General features: G+C 34.1%; 1 protein-coding gene across 2 annotated transcripts in view; it reads left to right on the top strand.

The window, feature by feature from the left end:
• The window catches only part of SEMA3E (semaphorin 3E), a 285,902-nt gene that overhangs the window by 23,257 nt on the left and 238,969 nt on the right, over positions 1-23,676 (top strand). The gene's annotated exons all lie outside the window — the stretch shown is intronic.

Genomic DNA, 23,676 nt, shown 5'->3' with positions numbered 1-23,676 from the left:
GATGGAATGTATCTCAAAATAATAAGAGCTGTTTATGACAAACCCACAGCCAGTATCATCATGGATGGGCAAAAGCTGGAAGCATTCCCTTTGAAAATCGGCACAAGACAAAGATGACCTCTCTCCCCACTCCTATTTAACATAATATTGGAAGTTCTGGCCAGGGCAATCATGCCAGAGAAAGAAATAAAGGGTATTCAAATAGGAAGAGAGGAAGTCAGATTGTCTCTGCTTGCAGATGACATGATTGTATATTTAGAAAACCCCATCGTCTCAGCTCAAAAACTCCTTAAGCTGATAAGCAACGTCAGCAAAGTCTCAGGATACAAAATAATGTGCAAAAATCACAAACATTCCTATACACCAGTACTAGACAGAGAGCCAAATCATGAGTGATTGCTACATAGAGAATAGAATACATAGGAATACAGCTTACAAGCAATGTGAAGGACCACTTCAAGGAGAACTACAAACCACTGCTCAAGGAAATAAGAGAGGACACAAACAAATGGAAAAACATTCCATGCTCATGGATAGGAGGAATCAATATCATGATAATGGCCATACTGTGCAAATTAATTTGTAGATTCAATGCTATCCCCATCAAGGTATCATGGACTTTCTTCACAGAATTAGAAAAAGCTATTTTAAATTTGTTATGGAACCAAAAAGAGCCCATATAGCCAAGACAATCCTAAGCAAAAAGAACAAAGCTGGAGGCATCACGCTACCTGACTTCAAACTATACTGCAAGGCTACAGTAACCAAAACAGCATGGTACTGGTACCAAAACAGATATGTAGGCCAATGGAACAGAACAGAGGCCTCAGAAATAACACCACACATCTACAACCATCTGATATTTGACAAACCTGACAAAAACAAGCAATGGGGAAAGGATTCCCTATTTAATAAATGGTGTTGGGAAAACTGGCTAGCTATATGCAGAGAACTGAAACTGGATCCTTTCCTTTTACCTTATACAAAAATTAGCTCAAGATAGATTAAAGATTTAAATGTAAGACCTAAAACCATAAAAACCCTAGGCGAAAACCTAGGCAATACCATTCAGGACACAGGCATGGGCAAAGACTTCATGACTAAATCACCAAAAGCAATGGCAACAAAAGCTGAAATTGACAAATGTGAACTAATGAAACTAAAGAGCTTCTGCACAGCAAAATAAACTATCATCAGAGTGAACAGGCAACCTACATAATGGGAGAAAATTTTTGCAAACTTTCCATCTGACAAAGGGCTAACATCCAGAATCTAGAAGGAACTTAAACAAATTTGCAAGAAAATAAAAAAACAACCCCATCAAAAAGTGGGCGAAGGATGTGAACAGACATTTCTCAAAAGAAGACACTTAAGTGGCCAACAAACATAGGAAAAAAGCTTATCATCACTGATCATTAGAGAAATGCAAATAAAAACCACAATGACATACCAACTCATGCCATTAAAATGATGATCATTAAAAAGTCAGGAAACAACAGATGCTAGAGAGGATGTGGAGTAATAGGAATGCTTTTACACTGTTGGTTGGAGTGTAAATTACTTCAACCATTGTTGAAGACAGTGTGACGATTCCTCAAGGACCTACAACTAGAAATACCATTTGACCCAGTGATCTCATTACTGAGTATATACCCAAATGATTTTAAATCATTCTACTATAAAGACACATGCACATGTATGTTTATTGCAGCACTGTTCACAATAGCAAAGACTTGGAACTAACACAAATGTCCATCATGGAGAGACTGGATAAAGAAAATGTGGCACATACACACCACTGAGTATTATGAAGCCATAAAAAAGAATGAGTTCATGCCCTTTGCAGGGACATGGATGAAGCTAGAAACTATCATTCTCAGCAAACTAACACAGGAACAGAAAACCAAACATTGTATATTCTCACTCATAAGTGGGAGTTGAACAATGAGAACACATGGGCACAGGGAGGGGATCATCACACACTGGGGCCTGTTGGGGGTGGGGGGCAAGGGGAGGGATAGCCATAGGAAAAATACCTAATGTAGATGATGGGTTGATGGGTGCAGCAAACCACTATGGCACATATATACTTATGTAATAAACTGCACATTATGCACATGTAAAATAAAAAAGGAAAAAAAAGAAATGAAACAATTTTTAAATTTAATCTATCTCAGGTAAGTAAGGAATAATTGTGTTCTAAAAATATGGTAGCAAATATAATTTCTAAACCTAAATTCATGTTAAATGTGAAGTAGCATTTTTTTTTTTCAGGTAGAGATTTATAAAGCAGAAATGTTATTGCTTTTATTGACAGTTAAGAAAAATATAAATTAGAAGAAAGTACAAAAAGTGCCTAAAATCATAACGTATACTTATGAATCTCACTACAAGTTATTAATATGTTGGTGTGTAAATTTTCTTTCGGATATGTAGCAATATATTTGAACACACAGGTTATTTTTATAAGAATGGGTTCATGTTGTACATGTTGCTTATTCATCTGCTATGAAGTGCTTTTTATGCCTCGGATTAGAGATATGCTTCCTCCATTTTATCTCATCATATTCCTTTATTTGAATGTACCATAATTCATGTACCCAATTTTATTATTGCAGGCAATTTTGGTTGTTTCTAGTTTTATTTTCTTTTTATAAATTATATTGTTGTCATCATTAGTATACATATGTCTTTATGCACTTGTTTGATTATTTCCCATGTATGAATTCCTAAAATAAAATTGCCTGGCAAATGAGAAGATATTTTGGTAACCTCCTCACATAGATTTAGAATAATGTTGTTTTTCCATGTTATTCCACCATCTTCTTATCCAAGCATCACCCTGACATCAATGCACTTTAAAATGCTTATTTTTTTATTTATTTATCAACTTTTATTTTAAGTTCCAAGGTACATGTGCGGGATGTGCAGGTTTGTTATGTGGTAAATGTGTGCCATAGTGGTTTGCTGCACTGATCAACACATCACCTAAGTATTAAGCCCAGCACCCATTAGTTGTTCTTCCTGATGCCCTTCGCAACTCTTCCCCACCCTGACAGGCCCCAGTGTGTGTTGTTTTACTCTATGTATCCATGTGTTCTCATCTTTCAGTTCCCACTTATAAGTGAGAACACGCTGTGCTTGGTTTTCTGTTCCTGTGTTAGTTTGCCGAGGATAATGGCTTCCAGCTCCATCCATGTCCCTGCAAAGGACATGATCTCATTCCTTTTTACGGCTGCATAGTATTCCATGGTGTATATGTACCACATTTTCTTTATCCAGTCTATCGTTGATGGGCATTTGGGTTGATTCCATGTCTTTGCTATTGTGAATATTGCTGCAATGAACATATGTGTGCATGTATCTTTATAATAGAAGGATTTATATTCCTTTGGGTATATATCCAGTAATGGAATTGCTGGGCCAAATGGTATTTCTGGTTCTAAATCTTTGAGGAAGTGCCACACTGTGTTCCACAATGAATAAACTAATTTACATTTCCACTAACAGTGTATAAGCATTTGTTTTTCTCCACAACCTCACCAGCATCTGTTGTTTCTTGACTTTTTAATAATCACCATTCTGACGGGCAGGAGATGGTATCTCATTATGGTTTTTATTTGCATTTCTCTAATGATCAGTGATGTTGAGCTTCTCATATGTTTATTGGCTGCATGTATGTCTTCTTTTGAGAAGTGTCTATTCATGTCCTTTGCCCACTTTTAAGTGTTTTTTTTTTCTTGTAAATTTGTTTAAGTTCCTCGTCGACTGGATATTAGACCCTTGTCAGATGGCTAGATTGTAAAAATTTTCTCCCATTCTGTATGTTGTCTGTTCACTCTGATGATAGCTTCTTTTGCTGTGCAGAAGATCTTTAGTTTATTTAGATCTCATTTATCAAGATTTGCATTTGTTGCAATTGCTTTTGGTGTTTTCATCATGAATTCTTTGCCATGCATATATCCTGAATGGTATTGTTTAGATTTTCTTCTAGGGTTTTTATAGTTATGGGTTTTACATTTAAATCTTTAATCCATCTTGATTTAATCTTTGTATAACGTGTAAGGAAGGGGTCCAGTTTCAGTTTTCTGCATATGGCTAGCCAATTCTCCCAGCACCATTTATTAAACAGGGAATCCTTTCTCCATTGCTTGTTTTTGTCAGTTTGTCAAAGATCAGATCGTTGTAGGTGTTCAGTCTTATTTCTGAGTTCTCTATTCTGTTCCATCGGTCAATGTGTCTGTTTTTGTACCAGTACCATGGTGTTTTGGATACTGTAGCCTTGTAGCATTGAAGTCGGGTAGTGTGATGCCTCCAGCTTTGTTCTTTTCACTTAGGATTGTCTTGGTTTTATGGGCTCTTTTTTAGTTCCATATGATTTTTAAAATAGTTTTTTTCTAATTCTGTGAAGAATGTCAGTGGTAGTTTAATGGGAATGGCATTGAAACTACAAATTACTTTGGGCAGTATGGCCATTTTCACAATATTGATTCTTCCTATCCTTGAGCGTGGAATGTTTTTCCATTTGGTTGTGTCCTCTCTGATTTCATTGAGCACTGGCTTGTAGTTCTCCTTGAAAAAGTCCTTCACATACCTTGTTAGCTGTATTCTTAGGTATATTATTCTCTTCTTAGCAATTGTGAATGGGAGTTCATTCATGATTTGGCTCTCTGCATGCCTGTTGTTTGTGTGCAGGAATGCTAGCAAATTTTGCATATTAATTTTGTATCCTGAAACTTTGCTGAAGTTGCTTATCAGCTTAAGAAACTTTACAGCTGAGATGGTAGGATTGTCTAGATATAGAATCATGTCATCTGCAAAAAAAGACAATTTGACTTCCTCTCTTCTTATTTAAAAACCTGTTATTTCTTTATGTTCCCTGATTTCCCTGGCCAGAACTTCCAATGCTATGTTGACTAAGAGTGGTGAGAGAAGGCATTCTTGCCTTGTGCTGGTTTTCAAGGGGAATGTTTCCAGTTTTTGCCCATTCAATATGATATTGGTTGTGGGCTTATCATATGTGGCTCTTATAATTTTGAGGTATGTTACTTCAATATCTAGTTTATAGAGAATTTTTAACGTGAAGAGATGTTGAATTTTATCAAAGGCCTTTTCTGTGTCTATTGAGAAAATCATATAGTTTTTATTTTTACTTCTGTTTACGTGATGAATTACATTTGATTTGTATATGTTGAACCAACCTTGCATCCCCCTGATGAAGCCAAGTTTATCATAGTGGATAAGCTTTTTGATGGACTGCTGGATTCAGTTTGCCAGTATTTTATTGAGGATTTTTGTATCCATATTCATCAGGGATATTTGCCTGAAGTTTTCTTTTTTTGTTGTATCTCTGCCAGATTTTGGTATCAGGATGATGCTGGCTTCATAAAATGAATTAGGAAAGATTCCCTCCTTTTCAATTGTTTGGAATAGTTTCAGGAGAAATGGTACCAGCTCCTCTTTGTACGTCTGGTAGCATTCAGCTGTAAATCCATCTGGTCCTAGGCTGTTTTTGGTTGGTAGGTTAAACATGCTTACTTTCTTTAAGCTAGGTTTATTCAGATTTTTATTCTCAATATTAGGTATATGTCAGTTCTGACTTTTGATTAGTAAATACAAATCAGAAATACACCAAAGTCAGTGAACAAATTTATCTCACAAAATTATGTGTTCCTTTCATCATTTGTATTTTTTTTTAGTATGGAAGTCTGCAGAAGACCTTATTGAATATTTTAAAATCCCTCATTCCTATCACTTTATTCATTCTGAGCTATGGAGGCCATATAAAATGAGAAACTCCCTCTTTTCTCCCAGGACTTATTAAATAAAGAATAGATCATTTATTTAACTACTTTCAGTGAGCATAATTATTGATTACCTACTAAATGTCAGGATATTATTTTTAGAGGTTTTAATAAAAGAGCAAACATGGTTTTGCATCTATCTATCTATCTATCTGTCTATCTATCTATCTATCTGTCTATCTATCTATCTATCATCTATCTATCTATCTCTGTCCACAGGTACACAGGTATATATTTATATTACCCACAGTTAATGATATTATATCTTCTTTTCCAACAGTAGCACTCATTTTTTTTTCTAATTTATGTACTTTCATTTTGTCTCTCCTTTTAAAATATGTAGTGAGGGAAGGACATAGTATTATCTCAAATGTGACAAATTCAAGGCAAGTGTGATAACTCCTTCTTAGTATATCCATAGCAGGTATTATTAATAAGTTGTGTCATTTTTTTCCTTTTAAGACCAGAGATAGCATCAAGATTCTTAGTACAGGGCTTCAGTGAACACCACCAACATTTTCTTCATTTCTCTTTTTCTACTGAAAACAAATAGAATTGATGGACCATTTAAAATAACAAAAATGTGTTAATAATAGGTTGTTGTAGCTCAAGGGATCACATTTATGGTTGCTTGATACAATATAAAAGTCAATTAAGTAAACTCCAGATAAGCAACACGATGTTTTTTGTTTTTGTTTCTGGGTTTTTATATTTTGCTTTGTTCAAGTGTGTTCCAAATATTGTTAGTGGACATACTTATCCTAAAATTATTTGTATTTATCTAAAATTTTTTATTTCAATTTCTTGGCTAAGTTTGGCAAATCAAAGAATTTTTTTTCTGTATGTTAGAAAAATGGCCGGAAAATATAAAATTATAATAACTACTAAAAGTTGTTCCATAAATTTAATACATAATAAGAACAAAAATAAGCATCCAGAAGAGATTAAATGACCCGAAGTTCTGCAAGACTTGTTAAATAAGGTATTACAATGTAAAAATAAAAGAATGATTTTAACAGAAGGAGTTATAGTTTTCTAAAAGACAGTTTTCTAATATCCATCAGAATATAATGTTTTGGACCATTTTTGAGCCACTATATAAGAATGTATGATGGGTATGTTTTTCTATGTGTGTATACAGTACACATATACATGTGTGTGCATGTGTGTATGCCTGCAGTATCATATGTGATGAAAATATAAGATATTTGATAAACCATTATGTATAACAATCTCATGTTTGAGAAAATATATATGCATGCATGTGTATGAAAGATAGCCCCAATTTTATTGTATTTTATTGTATTTATCTTTGGGCAGCAGCATATGAATTATGTTCACTTTCTCTTGAATACCTAGTTGAACTGTCTTTTATATTGACATTTATAATTAGAATGCCTGTAAAGCTATTTTATTTTAACAACAGCAACAAAAATACTAGCTACTCAAATAATAGAAAAAATAAAGTCATTGAGGTAAATTTTACCAATACTTGATCAATTACTGTCCAAATGAGAATAACCTTGAGGCAACAGACTTTGTATATTCCTGTTTTATTGATAAAGCCACTCTAGTTATAATAAGCATCCTGAGGACATGGTGGCTGATACTATTAAATACAAACTCTTATAAGCTTTACCAGAATGAAGTAGTAGCTATAAAATGAAGTACTAAAATAAAAAAACTTACTTGTCACTTACACAAAGGCAACTAGCTGTATAATGAGATCAGAGAGAAGATAAAGATTCCACGGTATCTGAGAAACCTGAGTTTAAACCTCAGCTGTTCTAATTTTTCAGACCGTGTGATTTTGGGTTAATTACTTAACCTTCATCAACATCAATTTTTTCAACTACAAGTAAAACAGTAGCTACTTCATTGTTAAAACTCTGAATCATAATAGGTACTGACAATGTTCACTTTACCAGTTTCTCATTACCTTTCTTACTCTGACTTCTTTCTTCTCTGACTTCTCACCACTCCCAATGCTGGTGCCATCTCTTCTGTCATCTACCATCCCACTTTGACCATAAAAGGTAGGTGATGAGTAAAGCAAAATGCACAAAGGGCTATGTCTTATTTGTTATCTTCCTTATGGACTATAGTGTTCTTTTCTATTTATAGCAGATGATCAGTGAATGTGTATTGATAAGACAATATTTTATTTAGGAGCAATGGACAGGGCATTATTTAAATTTTAGATTGTTGGTGACATAGTCATTCGACTCCTTATTTTTAATCATGTTTTATATTGATATTACTTTTTTAATTGTTGTGAAAGAATGCTTTTTAAACACTACTTTACTTTGTCAGAATTCCAGATCAGCATCTGGCACATGAGTCGACCTTGAAAAAGCCCATCAAACAGTGATTTACAATTTCCTCCTTCATAAAATGACTTAGTTATCTATAATAATTTATTAATTAATAAATTATATTATTTATATAAAATTTATATAAAATTATATATTACTTATATAAAATTTATATAAAATTATATATTACTTATATAAAATTTATATAAAATTATATATTACTTATATAAAATTTATATAAAATTATATATTATTTATATAAAATTATATATTATTTATATAAAATTTATATAAAATTATATATTATTTATATAAAATTTATATAAAATTATTAATATAAATTAATAATTTATTCTAATAATAAATTCCAGTAAGTGAAATGGAAACCTTTCATACTCTGTGACATGATTAAGGAAAAATATTTGGTGGGGTTAGTTTCACCCCTTTATACTTAACCTTAGGGCATTTATTATCTGTCACATATGAAATAGAAATTAGTCATTCTCAGAGGAGGATTATATATAAACCTTGCAAAATGAAGATTATATAGGAACATAAAACATTAAAAAGACAAAAATAATAGAAAGAAATTTGTGGGCTACAAAACATTTTAAATTATTCCAAAATACATTTTTCACTTTGTGTTTTCTATTTAAAACAATAATTCTTAATGTATAGTTTGGTATTGTAACCAAATTGATTATTAAAAATGAAGAAAATAAAGAGCATAAATTGGAATATTTAAGCACGGTGGCTTACGCCTGTAATCCCAGCACTTTGGGAGGCCAAGGTGGGTGGATCACCTGAGTTCAGGAGTTCGAGACCAGCCTGGCCAACGTGGTGAAACCCCGTCTCTACCAAAAATACAAAAACTAGCCAGGTGTGGTGGCAGGCTCCTGTAATCCCAGCTACTCAGGAGGCTGAGGCAGGAGAATCACTTGAACTCGGGAGGTGGAGGTTGTAGTGAGAGGAGATCACGCCTTTGCACTGCAGCCTGGGCAACAAGAGCAAAACTTCGTCTCAAAAAAAAAAAAAAGAAAGAAAGAAGAAGAATGAAGAGTGTTTCTTGTCAGAGGTGGGATCTCATCTGGGCCTTCACAACTTGAATGAAGAAAAGACATGGAGGAGGAAACTGCAGGCTCAAGTAAAAAGGCAAGAATAAAGTAGAAGTTTTAGTGGAGTTTCAGGGGAAAGTTGCACTTTTGAAAAACAGCAGGGAATATCATTGAATAAGTAGACTGGAGCCAGTTTGCCCGCTATTTTTTTTTATTAGAATCTTATTAAAATGTATTAAAGCAATTTTTATGAAAAGTCAAATATAGTTCCCCTTCCTATTCTGGTAAGATGTTTCATCTCAAAGCTAGTTATCTCTAAGATGTTTGGCATTTCTGTTTGGTCTATAACACACATATACAAAAGTAGGAAATGCAAAACATTTACTTTTCTTATGCAAAATAGGACATAGCATGAATGACAATTGCCCTAGCTACCTCAAATTTTGTAATAATCCAAATATTTCTATATTGTGTACCATAATTACTACCACAGTTTGAAATGGTTTTGTAATACATATACTCTCTTTGCCAAAAGGTTAAGAGAATAGACTCACACATAATTATCAGGAGCTATTTACCCCCAACTGAACATAATTATTGAAATCACAGGAGCACAGATTTGAAAGGGACCCCAACGGGTTATCTAGCTCATGGTCTAATCTCTTCAAGGGCATACATTTAACCCACCACAATTTACCAATGTTTTTTTTTTTTCCTTTTCTTAATCAAGTTAGTCCATTTTTCTTACTTTAAGCAGGATTGTTTAAAACCTCTCCTGATGAAAAAATTCTGTGTAGTAAATAAACCCCTCTGGAGAGAGAGAGAGAGATTCCACAACAGCCCTTGGTATTTCGCTTTGGCTTGTGTTTAACAATGCTTGCTGAAAACATTTCTTCAGGATATCTAAGGTAACTCCCCCACGCTTCTTCCACTGAAGACAATGCTCTCTAGTCTTGTGTGTTTCACTTACAGCAATAGAAGTATTACTTTATCGTTGCTATAATCTGCATTTAGGTGGGAAAGTATGGGTGATAGGTGCAAATCCCTTCCAACTGTAGTAAAAAATGATGGGGCGTGTATAAAGAGTGACATTATTAATGTTATTCTTTTTGACCCCCAAAAGTTTCATGTATTTTTTAACCTATAAATCTTTCCTTAAAAATAAAAACATCTTTCTTCCCCAGCCAGCTTCTAGGGGACCCATACTCACCTATGGTTGATCACATTTTGGTAGAGCCTATTTTTTCCTCTGGGTCATAGTCCAAGCTCTTACATTTTCCCTAAATTATTCCCTTCATCATCATTATATTATTCTGTTTTCAGGGCCCTCAGTCCCACACTGTCTGCTAAGTAAGGGGTTTAAAAAAAAATCTCATATGAATTGAACGTCACCTGTAGTGTAAACTGTACAATTTGTATATTTACATTTTAGAATTATTTGGAGGAATCAAATCTCCAACTAAGGATAACAATGGTAGTCATTTCAGGTTACCTGTTGAGAGATAAGGTATAAAGTTGCCCCAGAAACCCTTTGAACAGTGCTGGACACAGAGAAAATGCCCTATTCTATTAGCTATTGTTATTAGTTATGATGAAGATTGTGTTGGTGGTGGTATTGTTTAAATATGTTAGAGCAGGAGTTGTATCTTATTTGCTGTCTTTCTCCTGGAGTATAGTGCTCTGCTCTATTTAAAGTGGATGATCAGTGAGTGTGTATTAATAACACAATATTTTATTTAAGAGCAATGGATAGGATGTTATTTAAATTTGATTGTTGGTGAACTAGTCATTCAAACTATTTATTAATCTTTTAATTCTTCCTTGGGCATTCATCATTGCACATCCCTGTCATCCTTTGGAAGTTAGCTTGACTTTTTGGCTTGTTTTGGCCAATGAAATAAAGCCAGAATTGATAAATGACATTTGTGCACAGAAACTGTGAGCTTTGAGACTGAGAGTGTAATTTGTCACATTTTCTTTTCCTGCCTCAGTAGTCATGAATGTACTTCCCAAGATGGAACTTCTGTCACCCTGGGTCCCAAGGTTGCTTGCTAAGCAGGATCTCATTTGAACACCTACTTTGGATATGTAAACTGGGTTAGAAATAAAAGTCTGTTGTTTTAAGCCACTAAGATTTTGGGGGTTTCTTTTTTATTGTGGCATAACTTGCCCTCTCTTGACTGATAACTGGCAACACACTTATTTGTGAAGAAAATATTTTTGCTACTAGACATGACTAAGCAAACTATTTTCTCTGCACACAAATAAATTATGTTCAGGTGTCACTCCACATAACTGATTGTGCCATGCCAACTTTCTCTAAAGTACATGTGGTGAAATCCTTTCCTTACAAGGAAGAAACACAGCATCTGTTATATTTGAACGGGAAAACTACTTCTGGCTGGCTGTCCATAGTGCTGAACGGGGAATAAAATCTGTCTGGCTGTTTACGTCCTGAATTTTGGCACTGAGAAAGAATGTGAAAAGCTCAATTTACCTATAATATTGTGTCCAAAATTCCTTCTTCTCCCATCTTAGGTATTAAAAAGTATGCAGTGCAATGGCTTATCTTGCAACAGGTGCAATTATTAATTACTTGAGACTTTCAGGGACAAACAGAAAATCTTCTCTCTTAGTAACATCAAGAAAGACTGAAGGGTAGAGAAAATAATTCTCACTTCCATTTTTCAACCTCACGTACTTGATGCTCCAATTAGAGACTCAGTGATATTTTTGAAATTTTATTTTCCTGCTTTTATGTATGAATATTGTTTTGTGTTTTAAGTGCTTCAAGAGATGCTACATCTTTAGAAGTCATTATTTTGTAATTTTTTGTTAAATAAATATAAGGAAATGTACATTTTTTACTCTTTAATAGGGATGACTAGGAAACTAAGACGAAATATGTAGTTTCAGTGGAAAATAAGAGAGATACATGAAAAGTATTTTATTTTAAAGAACTGCCTCAAAATGTGTTTGTATCATCCCCAAAGTGCTGTTTTAAGTTTATTATTTTTTAAATTAATTTTACTATCTTGATCTTAGGAATAAGATATGATCCAAACAATTGAAATGTGCATCAAAAATACTGACAATCTTAATTCAAAAGCTTTGTTAATCATACTAATATGAATTATTTTTAGGCCTGAAATCTGGTTTTAGATTATATTAGAGTAGGCCCATTTCTTTATGCAAATGGTAAATAGGGCTCTTTGTTAGTTCAATTTTAGATGAAATGAGTAAAGAAAGAGCACTTTCTGAAAACAGTAGTCATTTCACATTGTTTTGTGGTTTACAGTGTTCCATTAAAAACACATGACATTGTTAGGCCTATTTTAGGCAGTCATACAGTCTGATTCACAGGGAAGAATTGATAATTCCTTCCATGTTTTACTTCTGTATATTTTTAGATTTTCTTTTCTGTATGTCATTTTCTTACTGACAGGAGGATGAGGAGAAAGGCAGGATGGGTTAAATGGATTCATTAGAATACTCAAAAAGGCAGGGTCTCCATTGTTTTCGGACTATAGAGTAGTTGTGATAGGATGCTTTTTCAAATACGAATAGAAATTATTTTCATAAAATATCTACTATATCTCAATGCTTTTGTTGTACCATCTCCAATCTCCCAAATGTCTTCATATCCTTGTTCATATATCACATACAAGCTAAAAAATTTAAATTATTTAAATGTATTTAAATTTAAAGCCATGTAGCTAGCAAATGACAAAACTGAATTCAAATTCAGTGTCTGTACTGGCTGAATCATGGATATGAGTTTTGAAAGATCATTCCCACTTTATATATCAAACTCTTTTCTAATGGTATACAGGTTAGTTTTCTGAATGAAATATTAACTGTTATAAAACATATGTGTTAAAGATGAAGAGATCTTATTGGGGAATTACTATATAAACTCCAAAGCAAAGTTTCCAAAGGGCTTTTTCCCAAGGGCAAGTGTGGGCTTGTCCTAGAAATAGACATGTATATGTTTTACCCACCCCTAGTGACAGTAGAACACTCTGTTCTTTAAAATCCAGGGCTAAATTAAGCAAGGAATGTTCAAACTGGACGAACCTACAATTATCAAAATCTCCTCTTAGCATTAAGAAGGCAGTCAGGACTCAGCAGGTATTTTTATTTGCTTATTTTTCTAATCAATTGAAAACACAGTCAAATTCTGGCTGTGTGACCTTGGGTATTTTGCTACCTAAGTTTCAGTTCTTCATTTGTAAGATATACCTATTTTTTCCATAGGATTGATCTTTGGATTTATTTAAGTATCATATTTAAAGTTTCTATCACAGTGCCTGCCATAGTATGACCTTAAAATTGTATTTACTGAGAGCATGAGAGTATACATTTAGGAAAGGAATTGTATTATTACCGTTATAGATTCCAAGGATATAACAGAGAATAAAACAGACAAATTTCCTGCCCTAATTAAACTTATAGTCTGGTAGGGGAAGATATTATATATTCTATTGGTTGAGTAGTACTCTGAATATAAATAAATAATAAGTAAAACAGATTAAGAGGATTAGAGTGTTCCAGGGATTCTTTTTTACATAGGATGATCAAGGAGTCTCTGATAAGGTGATATATGTGAGTAGAGAATTACAGGAATTTGGAAACCTGGAAGGAAAGCATTGTGGACAGAGAGACTGACTGGTGCAAAGGCATTGACATTAGAATACCTTCTGTGAATTCTAACAGTGGAGGGAGCAGGGAGGACAGTGGGAGATGAAAGCAGCAAGGCAATTGGGGAGCTGATCATGTGGGCCTCTGCTGCCATGCTAAAGGTAAGACATAAGCTGTATGATGGAAAGCCATTAAAGAGTTTTGAAGTGAGGAATGACTTGGTCTGACTCTCAGACTGAAAAGGCCGGAATCCTGGCTGGCAGATGATAGATTTTATGGGCAAGGCTTGAAACAGGGAAATAAATCTGTAGGGGATTTTAATAGTTTATGTAGGACATGATGGTTGCTTGAATGAGTGATATTGATGAAGGAAGAAAGAAAAGATATTATGGATATTAAAGGTAGAACTGATGGGCTTTGCCAGTAGATTCTTGTAGGATATGGGAGGTAGAGAGGTACCAAGGATGATTCCAAGTGTTTTGGCCTGAACAGCTGGAAGATTGAAGCTGTCATTTCCTGATGGGGAAGGCTGCTGGAAAGGAGCAAGTATAAATATGAAGAGAAATGAGTGGTAGCTAGATGAGGACCTAAGGTCAAGGGGGATAATGGTTGAAGATGAGTGACCTATAGCATAATATATATCACCAATCTGGATGTGAGATATATATATATATATAATATATAAATTTATATATATAATATATAAATTTACACATATATTATATATAATATATAAATTTATATATTATACATAAATTTATATATATAATATATAAATTTAATATATAATATATAAATTTATATATAATATATATAAATATATATGGAGTGATCTGGGGTACGGAAAAATTTGATGATGCAAAAGGGGAGCTGATTTCCTTGAGTAGGTAAGAGACGGGATTTCTTAAAGCAGAGCAGTGGCTGGGCTGCCATAGAGATGCAGAGAGACAGCAGGGTGGAGGTAGCTGACACAGGTAGTTAGGAATTTGCCTAAAATTTGCCATTGAAAGCAATGGCAAATCCGCAATTACTTTTGCCCCAACCTAATAGATTTGATGGTGGTGGGGGAACTCGGAATTTCTCTTAAATATAAAGCAAGTTTCTCCACTGAAGGAGTGGAGGAAGAGAGAAGGTGTTTATCAGTTTGCTAGGTCTGCCATAACCAAGTACCACAGAGGGGTTGATTGAAACAACTGAATTTGATTTTCTCACAATTTTGGAGGCTGTAAGCCTGAGATCTAGTTACCAGCAGGGTTAGTGTCTTCTGAAGCTTCTCACCTTTGCTTGTGGATGACCTTCTCCCTGTGATTTCATTCTTCATGTGGTCTTCCCTGTCTGTGTCCCTCCCCATCTCATTTTAGCTTAATCACTTCTTTAAAGTCTCTATCTCCAAATATAGTCACATTCTGAGGTATTGGGCTTTAGGACTTCAACATATGGGTTTTATATTAATATTAAGAGGGACATACATTAGCCCCTAACAAGGTATTTAAAATTCAAGGAAAGTATCATATTTTCTAGAATGGGCTAGGAAAATGTAAAATTGCAGAGCAGCATTTAGATTAATGTAGTAGACCATTCATAGTTGTAACATTTATAATATCTATAAGATTAAAAAATTCAAGGGACAATTAAGTTTAAATTTTAATAACTATATGAATTAAATTAAATAATTCTTTTTTCTGAACATATACTCTGTATTCTAAGTAGTCCAGAAAATAAAATAGAAAATAAGAGGAATGGCTCTAGATTTACTCAGTATGCACACACATTCAAAGTATATTCATCAAGTGCTGTATATTCATTATATCAGAAATTATGCCTACAGAGGGTGAAAATTAGAAAACTAGAAAGACAGGATAGATTGGTAGAGTGAGCTTTCTACATCTTTTTCATTCTAGGAACTTCAGACTAAAATCCAGTCTGCCAATCTGTAATACATTCTTATATTCTTAATAAAGTCTTGTGCTTTATTTGTCTCAGGTATTTAAAACATTGTTTTCACAATTTCTTTGTAGTTTATCTTTAAATTGATAGATAATATTTTCCAGAAATATTTTGATTTTATTTTGCAGTTCATTGTACTGTATTTCGTTTAATTTCCTTTCCAAATAGAGGGGAGTCTCTTTGGCTTTTTAGAAATCCTATTGTCCATAATTATTCAATATACAATATTTAATTTTATAAATGTAAGGTTTAAAATACATTAGAAAATAAAGTAAGCATTCAGTACATAATTTAACTATGATTTTGAAAAATAATTTGTTTAGTTAACTTAGGATATTTGTTTCAGATAAGAAAGTGATAAACAAGTTTTATGCAAGATTGTTTTTAATGAGTTTTAAATAAACCAAGTTTTAATTTATATGAGATATAGTTGATTTGGTAAGTAAAAATCTGTTGTTTTATTGTTAAATTAATCACCGTTGATCACAATATATAGTTTAGGTAGGAGATGATGGTTGTTTGAATGAGAGTGGTATTGATTAATAGGGTAGCATAATTTTGTTAGCTACACAAAGTACAATATTGATAATTTCCTAAGGCCTAAAATATTTATTTATATTTGGAAGAGCCTATCTCAATACAATATTAAAATAAGTTAAGCAGAAATGTACCTAAAATATTCACAAAATTTAGATGCTAGCCAACTCAATCACTTTGTCTCTGAAAACATAGATTCTAAGCAAAAGTTTGAGAAAGTACATACATGTACTTTTAAACATGTGTTTAAAGTAGACAGTGTGCCTGATCCGTATCATAATTTTTTTCTAGTAAATGTAAACCTTTGTTGTTGTTAAGTAGAGTTTTTCTATTTAAATATCATCATTTTATGAAGTAGGGGACTGACATACACTGTTTCAACATAACCTTTTTTTGTACTATTGAGTATTTTTTGAACTTCATGGTTATGCTATATGATAAAATATACAGTAGAGGTTAAAACATTATTTAAAATGTTTTTAAGAGATGTGAAATGTATGTGTAGGAAATACACTTTATATAACACTATTTAAATTATCTTTCTCAATACTTAGTAATTTCTCAGAAGTTTCTCTACAATTTCTTGTTACGTAGAGATTTGTCAGATGGCTTTACTTTTACTTCTTGGCAGGACTCCCTTGAATCTTTCAAATGAATGAAATTCTATGCTGCAAGTTATACCACAGTCTACTTTTTTTCTCACATCTCTCAAACAATGAGACTTGGGATTTTACCAACTTCGAGTGTTTTAATATGCCCATAACCATGTTGGGTTATATACCAGTTGAAAATCTAATGAATTTTCCAGAAAAATACAAAACTTACATACACTAAAAATCTTGCATACGAATTCAAACAATTCATGGATCCCCAAAAGACAATCCATGAATATTTATGGAATTCAAATTATAGTGCTTCTAGACCCACAAAGAAGCCTAGTTATAACAATTTTGACTTATCATCTTGATGGAATGTAATATACAGTGAGAACAAGAGAGGGGTTGTTTATGATGAACTGAAAGCTCACCATACTAAAAGTATGAAAAATGTGAAGCTCAGAATTATATATGTACTATAAATTCAATGATATAAAATGTGCATGCTCTGGACAAAAACTTTAAAAAATCATGAAAAAAAGAAAAGTAGTTCTGAAAGAGTAGTAGGATTATGAATAAATTTTTCCTTTAAAAAATTCCTATTAAGGCTCTATTATTTTGTATTAAAAAATAATACAGTAATAGGAGAAACCTACAAAAGAGACAACTGGACAAATGCAATAATCTCTTATCTATTCTCTGAGTATCCACTCTTGCTCCCTTTCTTTTCATTCTGTTGAATGAAGCTAAAATAATCTTTTTTTTTCTTTTTTTTGAGACTGAGTCTTGCCCTGTCACCCAGGCTGAAGTGCAATGGCATGATCTTGGCTTACTGTAACCTCTGCCTCCTGGGTTCAAGTACTTCTCCTGCCTCAGCCTCCCGAGTGTCTAGGATTGACAGGTGCATGTCACCATGCCCAGCTAATTTTTTGCGTCTTTAGTAGAGACGCGGTTTCACCATGTTGGCCAGGTCTCAAACTCCTGACCTGGTGATCTGCCCGCCTTGGCTTCCCAAAGTGCTAGGATTATAGGTGGGAGCCACCACACCCAACCAGCTAAAATAATCTTTAAAAAATTCCAATCTGGTTATACCACACCTCTAATTAAAACTCCTCAATAGTTTCTAATTCCTCTCAGAATAAAAATCCTGAATGGGTCTCCAAGGCTCCTCCTCCCACTGTTTCCTCCAGTTCACCAGCCTTTCCTAGAAAAAGGCTCTCTGCCTTTATATATGACTTTATGCATTCATTCTTTTGTCTTCCTTCCTTCTCTTCTAAACCTTACTCATCCTTTACACTTCAGCTCCACATTTACTTCTTCTTTGGGGAAGCTCCTATTGATCCTTTAGCTTGATCATACTTATAGTATTCCAAATTTTTATTTTATAGCATTTTTCAAGTGAATAAATCAAGAATAAGCCAATGACCCAGTTTATATTTGTATAGAATCTTATAAATATTAAAAATATTAAGTTTTCTCTACATAGGTAAAAATGAGGATGAAGCACTGCCATACTCTGGCTAACTTAATCAATATTGGCAGCCTTCTCCCCTTATGATTAACATAGGCAAAGCAAAGCCTCTACAAGACAGTATGGCAATGAAATTACAAGAGTAAAGAACATGCTCAGTGAGTGAGTGGAGAAGAATTTTAGTTAGGCTGATAACACGACCCCTAAACCTCCAGTGATTTTCATATATTCAAAAAGAGAAAGTCAATCAAGTTGTAAAAAGAATAATTTAAACACATTATCTGTTGTCATGTGGACACAATAACTGACTGGTTGAATCTGTACTTTTTAAAAGTTATGTAAGTACAGCTTTAGGTCATTTCACACTAGGGGTTTCAAATGGACACACAAATTCGCTCAGTGGGAGCTCTTCAGCATCACCCAAATGGTTGAAATAGGAACTATTTCCAGTTGCACCAAACAGGAAGTGTTGGTACAATTATACATAGAAGCATTTGTGTGGACTTAACAGTTAAAAAATAGGAATATTTGTCATTCCCTACATTATACTTTAAGTAGCCTACATATAACAGAAAGATTGTGAAATGATAGTATTTTTAGCTTTAACATCAGATATTTTTTGGAAGCTTCACTTTAGCAAATCTCATTTTGTAATTTAATATTGGCCACAATATAATATGCAAGTAGAAAATACATACATTAGTTAAAAACAATAATTTCAAATCTGATTTTTTTTTTTAATTTTTTTTTTTTTATTATACTTTAAGTTTTAGGGTACATGTGCACATTGTGCAGGTTAGTTACATATGTATACATGTGCCATGCTGGTGTGCTGCACCCACTAACGTGTCATCTAGCATTAGGTATATCTCCCAATGCTATCCCTCCCCCCTCCCCCGACCCCACCACAGTCCCCAGAGTGTGATATTCCCCTTCCTGTGTCCATGTGATCTCATTGTTCAATTCCCACCTATGCGTGAGAATATGCGGTGTTTGGTTTTTTGTTCTTGCGATAGTTTACTGAGAATGATGGTTTCCAATTTCATCCATGTCCCTACAAAGGACATGAACTCATCATTTTTTATGGCTGCATAGTATTCCATGGTGTATATGTGCCACATTTTCTTAATCCAGTCTATCATTGTTGGACATTTGGGTTGGTTCCCAAATCTGATTTTAAAAAAATCTCATTAGATTGCCAAAAATGGGCAAGTTGCTAAAATATTAAGGCCAATGAATCAGCAATTCAATAGCTTTTTCTAGGTCACCATGACAGAAAGAACCATTAACTACTTTGTTCTCTTCCTTCTGTAAACCAAGACTTACAAAGATTTTGCAGCTTGAAATGCATCCCAGACAGCAGTCAATTTTCAATTTTGTCGTCAAGTACAGTTACCAGCAGGATGCTGAATGCTGACAAAACATGTAATGATTGCTGCTTACGGAAGGGTAATTGGGATTCTGGATTTCAAAATGTTAAAATATTTGAGATGTGGGCAAAGATCTCATGACGAAAATACCAAAAGCAATTGCAACCAAAACTAAAATTGACAAATGGAATCTAATTAAGATAAAGATCTTCTGCACAGCAAAAGAAACTACCATCAGAATGAACAGGCAACCTACAGAACGGGAGAAAAATGTTTGCAATCTAGCCACCTGAGAAAGGTCTAATATCCAGAATCTACAAGGAACTTAAACAAATTTACAAGAAAAAGACCAAACAACCCTATCAAAAGGTGGGCAAAGAATATGAACAGACACTTCTCAAAAGAAGACATTTATGGCCAGGCACAGTGGCTCACGTACCTGTAATCCCAGCACTTTGGGAGGCCAAGGAGGGTGGACCACCTGAGGTCAGGAGTTCGAGACCAGCCTAACCAACATGGTGAAACCCCAACTCTACTAAAAATACAAAAATAGCTGGGGGTGGTGGTGGGTGCCTGTAATCCCAGCTACTCAGGAGGCTGAGGCAGGATAATCGCTTGATCCTGGGAGGTGGAGTTTGCAGTGAATTGAGATCGCACCACTGTGCTCCAGCCTGGGCAACAGAGCAAGACTCCATCTCAATAAAAAAAAAAAAAGAGAGGACATTTATGCGGCCAAGAAACATGTGAATAAAAGCTCAGCATCACTGGTCATTAGGGAAATGCAAATAAAAACCACAACGAGATACCATCTCATGCCAGTCAGAATGGTGATTATTAAAAAGTCAGGAAACAATAGATACCGGCAAGTCTGTGGAGAAATAGGAATGCTTTTACACTGTGGGTGGGAATGTAAATTAGTTCATCCATTGTGGAAGACATTGTGGTGATTCCTCAAGAACCTAGAACCAGAAATACCATTTGACCCATCAATCCCATTACTGGGTATGTACCCAAAGGATTTTAAATCATTCTAGTATAAAGACACATGCACACATATGCTTATTGCAGCAGTATTTACAAGAGCAAAGACATGGAATCAACCCAAATGCCAAACAATGATAGACTGAATACAGATAATGAGATACATATACACCATGGAATCCTATGCAGCCAAAAAGAATGAGATCATGTCCTTTTCAGGGACGTGGATGAAACTGAAAGCCATCATCCTCAGCAGACAAACACAGGAACAGAAAACCAAACACCACGTGTTCTCACTCATAAGTGGGAGTTGAATAATGAGAACTCATGGACACAGGGAGGGGAACGACACACACCAGGGCCTATCAGCGGGTGGGGGGCGAGGGGAGTGAGAGCATCATTACAAATAATTAATGCATGTGGGGCTTAAAACCTAGGTGACGGGTTGATAGATGCAGCAAACCACCATGGCACACGTATACCTATGTAACAAACCTGCATGTTCTGTGCATGTATCCCTGAACTTAAAGTAAATATATATATGTGTGTGTACATATATATATGTGTGTGTGTATATATATATATGTTGGGTTATATACCAGTTGTATGTATGTGTATGTACATATATATATATACATATATATGTATATATATGTACACACACATAAATGTGTCAAAATTTTTCATTTTTAAAATTGTTAATTTTAAAATTTCAAGATATATATACATATATATATAGAGAGAGAAAACCACTTAAGTTTAAAACCAAATTCAAAAAACTGTGTCATTTCTACCTAAATTTAGTCAGAGACTTTTAACATTCAAGTACTTTTTCCAAATTATAGACAACTTGATTCAGAGCATAGACATAGAATGTAAATGGAATAAAACATCTGAAGAAAGAAGTTTCCTTTCTCTGTATATGCGTTTTACTTATTAAACTAATTTTGCTTCACTTTAAAGGGAGAGAGTAAAATTTCTCTGTCCTCCTTCAACCTATTTGCTTTGCTAATGTACTTTATTGTAACTGTTAAACAAAGAGTCTTCTTATCAATTGTTAGAAGTTTTAGCTTTCCAGAAACTGTGGTTATAGTCAAGTTCATTAAGAGAACCATGCAATTAGGGATATGAATCTCTTCATTCTCTCTACATGAAGAAATTTCTGATAGAAGATAACTTGGCAGGATAATTTCTATACAAATTTAATTTTCTATTCAGTTTCTTAGCACCTAATTTTCTTCTTATAGCCTTTAAAAAACACTCACGCATGTAAGGGGAGTAGCCAAGTCCAATGAAAAGTATGCAAATGCTTGTATAAGCACTTGTTACAAGTACTGTTGTGTTGCAATAGACTGCTCCAAAGATAGATTTGAAACAATATTTTAGAAGAATGCAAAGCTCTACAGTAGATGAAACAATATGGCTTAAAGGTTAGAATGTATTTGCTTCTGTGAAAAAGTTCTTAAGCTTTTGGTCTTTCTTCTTTACACTTTAAATAAAACTATATCTATCTCACTGCTGTTAATAGAATCAATTTGCTAAACAACTAAACTGAAACTAATACTACAGATGGAGTACTTTCTCATCTTCTTAATAAAATGTTTACAGTAGCATCTAGTTTTTTCTGAAAAGATATGTCATTTTTCTATATTTAAAGTTATGAATTATTTAAGTAGTATTAGCTTTGTTAATCATAAGAATACAAAGCTTCCTCCTCTCATCCCTTCTACCTGGTATTAATTTACAGATATTCCTATTCATAGCATAAATTTTTTCAAAAAGGACCTGTCACAAAGTTTCAGGCTTTTTTACTCTCTTTTATGTCTTGTGTTTCACCTCCCTAATATGGCCAGAAAGAACTGAAAACAATCTAATACTCATTAGATTATGTTCATGTTTATTTACATGAACTTCAGGGTTTTCTTGGGTGGTATTTGGGTGAGAGCTATTGATGTACACATTCACAGTACCTTTCTAAATGCTTTATTACTCCCAGGAGTAGAAGACTTGGACCACTGGGTTAGTGGTATATCATAAAGAAATACAATATTGGGTTGGAGTCTTATCGAAGAAACCTTATACAATATAGCTTCTTTTTCTTGGACCTACGCATAAAGCAATAAAAATTACACATTTCTGATAGGTTAAGTTTTAATCTCAATTCAATTTAACAAATATTTATTGCACACTTACTATATGCTATCTATAATATTCAAATGAGTCAAGTGTAATTTTATCTATTAAGACAATTATGATGTAAAATAATAACAATACATGTTAAAGTATGAATCACATGGGCAAATTGTATTACTACAGTATAGGATCATTACAAACAAAAGGTGATGAGAGCCATAAAAAGAAAATGAAACTAATATTTAAGAGTGCTTCTAGGCTGGGCGCGGGGGCTCACACCTGTAATCCCAGCACTTTGGGAGGCTGAGGCGGGCAGATCACAAGGTCAAGAGATGGAGACCATCCTGGCCAACATGGTGAAACCCCGTTTCTACTAAAAATACGATAATTAGCTGGGTGTGATGGCGCATGCCTGTAGTCCCAGCTACTTGGGAGGCTGAGGCAGGAGAATCACTTGAACCCAGGAGGCGGAGGTTGCAGTGAGCTGAGATCAAGCCACTGCACTCCAGCCTGGCGACAGAGGAAGACTGTCTCAAAAAAAAAAAAAGTGCTTCTAAATGCCAGGTATTTTAGACCTCTCTAGGTAAGATGAGGGCATATCTGTCTGGATAGGGGAGGGCCGTGGAGATAGGCATGCTTATGTGAAAATTTCAGGTAGAGTATCAAAAGAAGTTTGTGAAGGCAGTGGCATTCATATGCTGATGAATTATGATTTGTAATTTGTGACACTTTCAAACTGACAGAGAATATGACTTGTTTTTCTCACATTTCCTAGCTTTGTCTTATTGGTGTTATCTACTTTATTGTGACTCCCTATGATTAGACA

The sequence above is a fragment of the Homo sapiens genome, chromosome 7, assembly GCF_000001405.40.
Source record: "Homo sapiens chromosome 7, GRCh38.p14 Primary Assembly".
In the NCBI taxonomy this organism is placed as follows: domain Eukaryota; kingdom Metazoa; phylum Chordata; class Mammalia; order Primates; family Hominidae; genus Homo; species Homo sapiens.
This window is presented reverse-complemented; position numbering and strand designations above follow the sequence as displayed.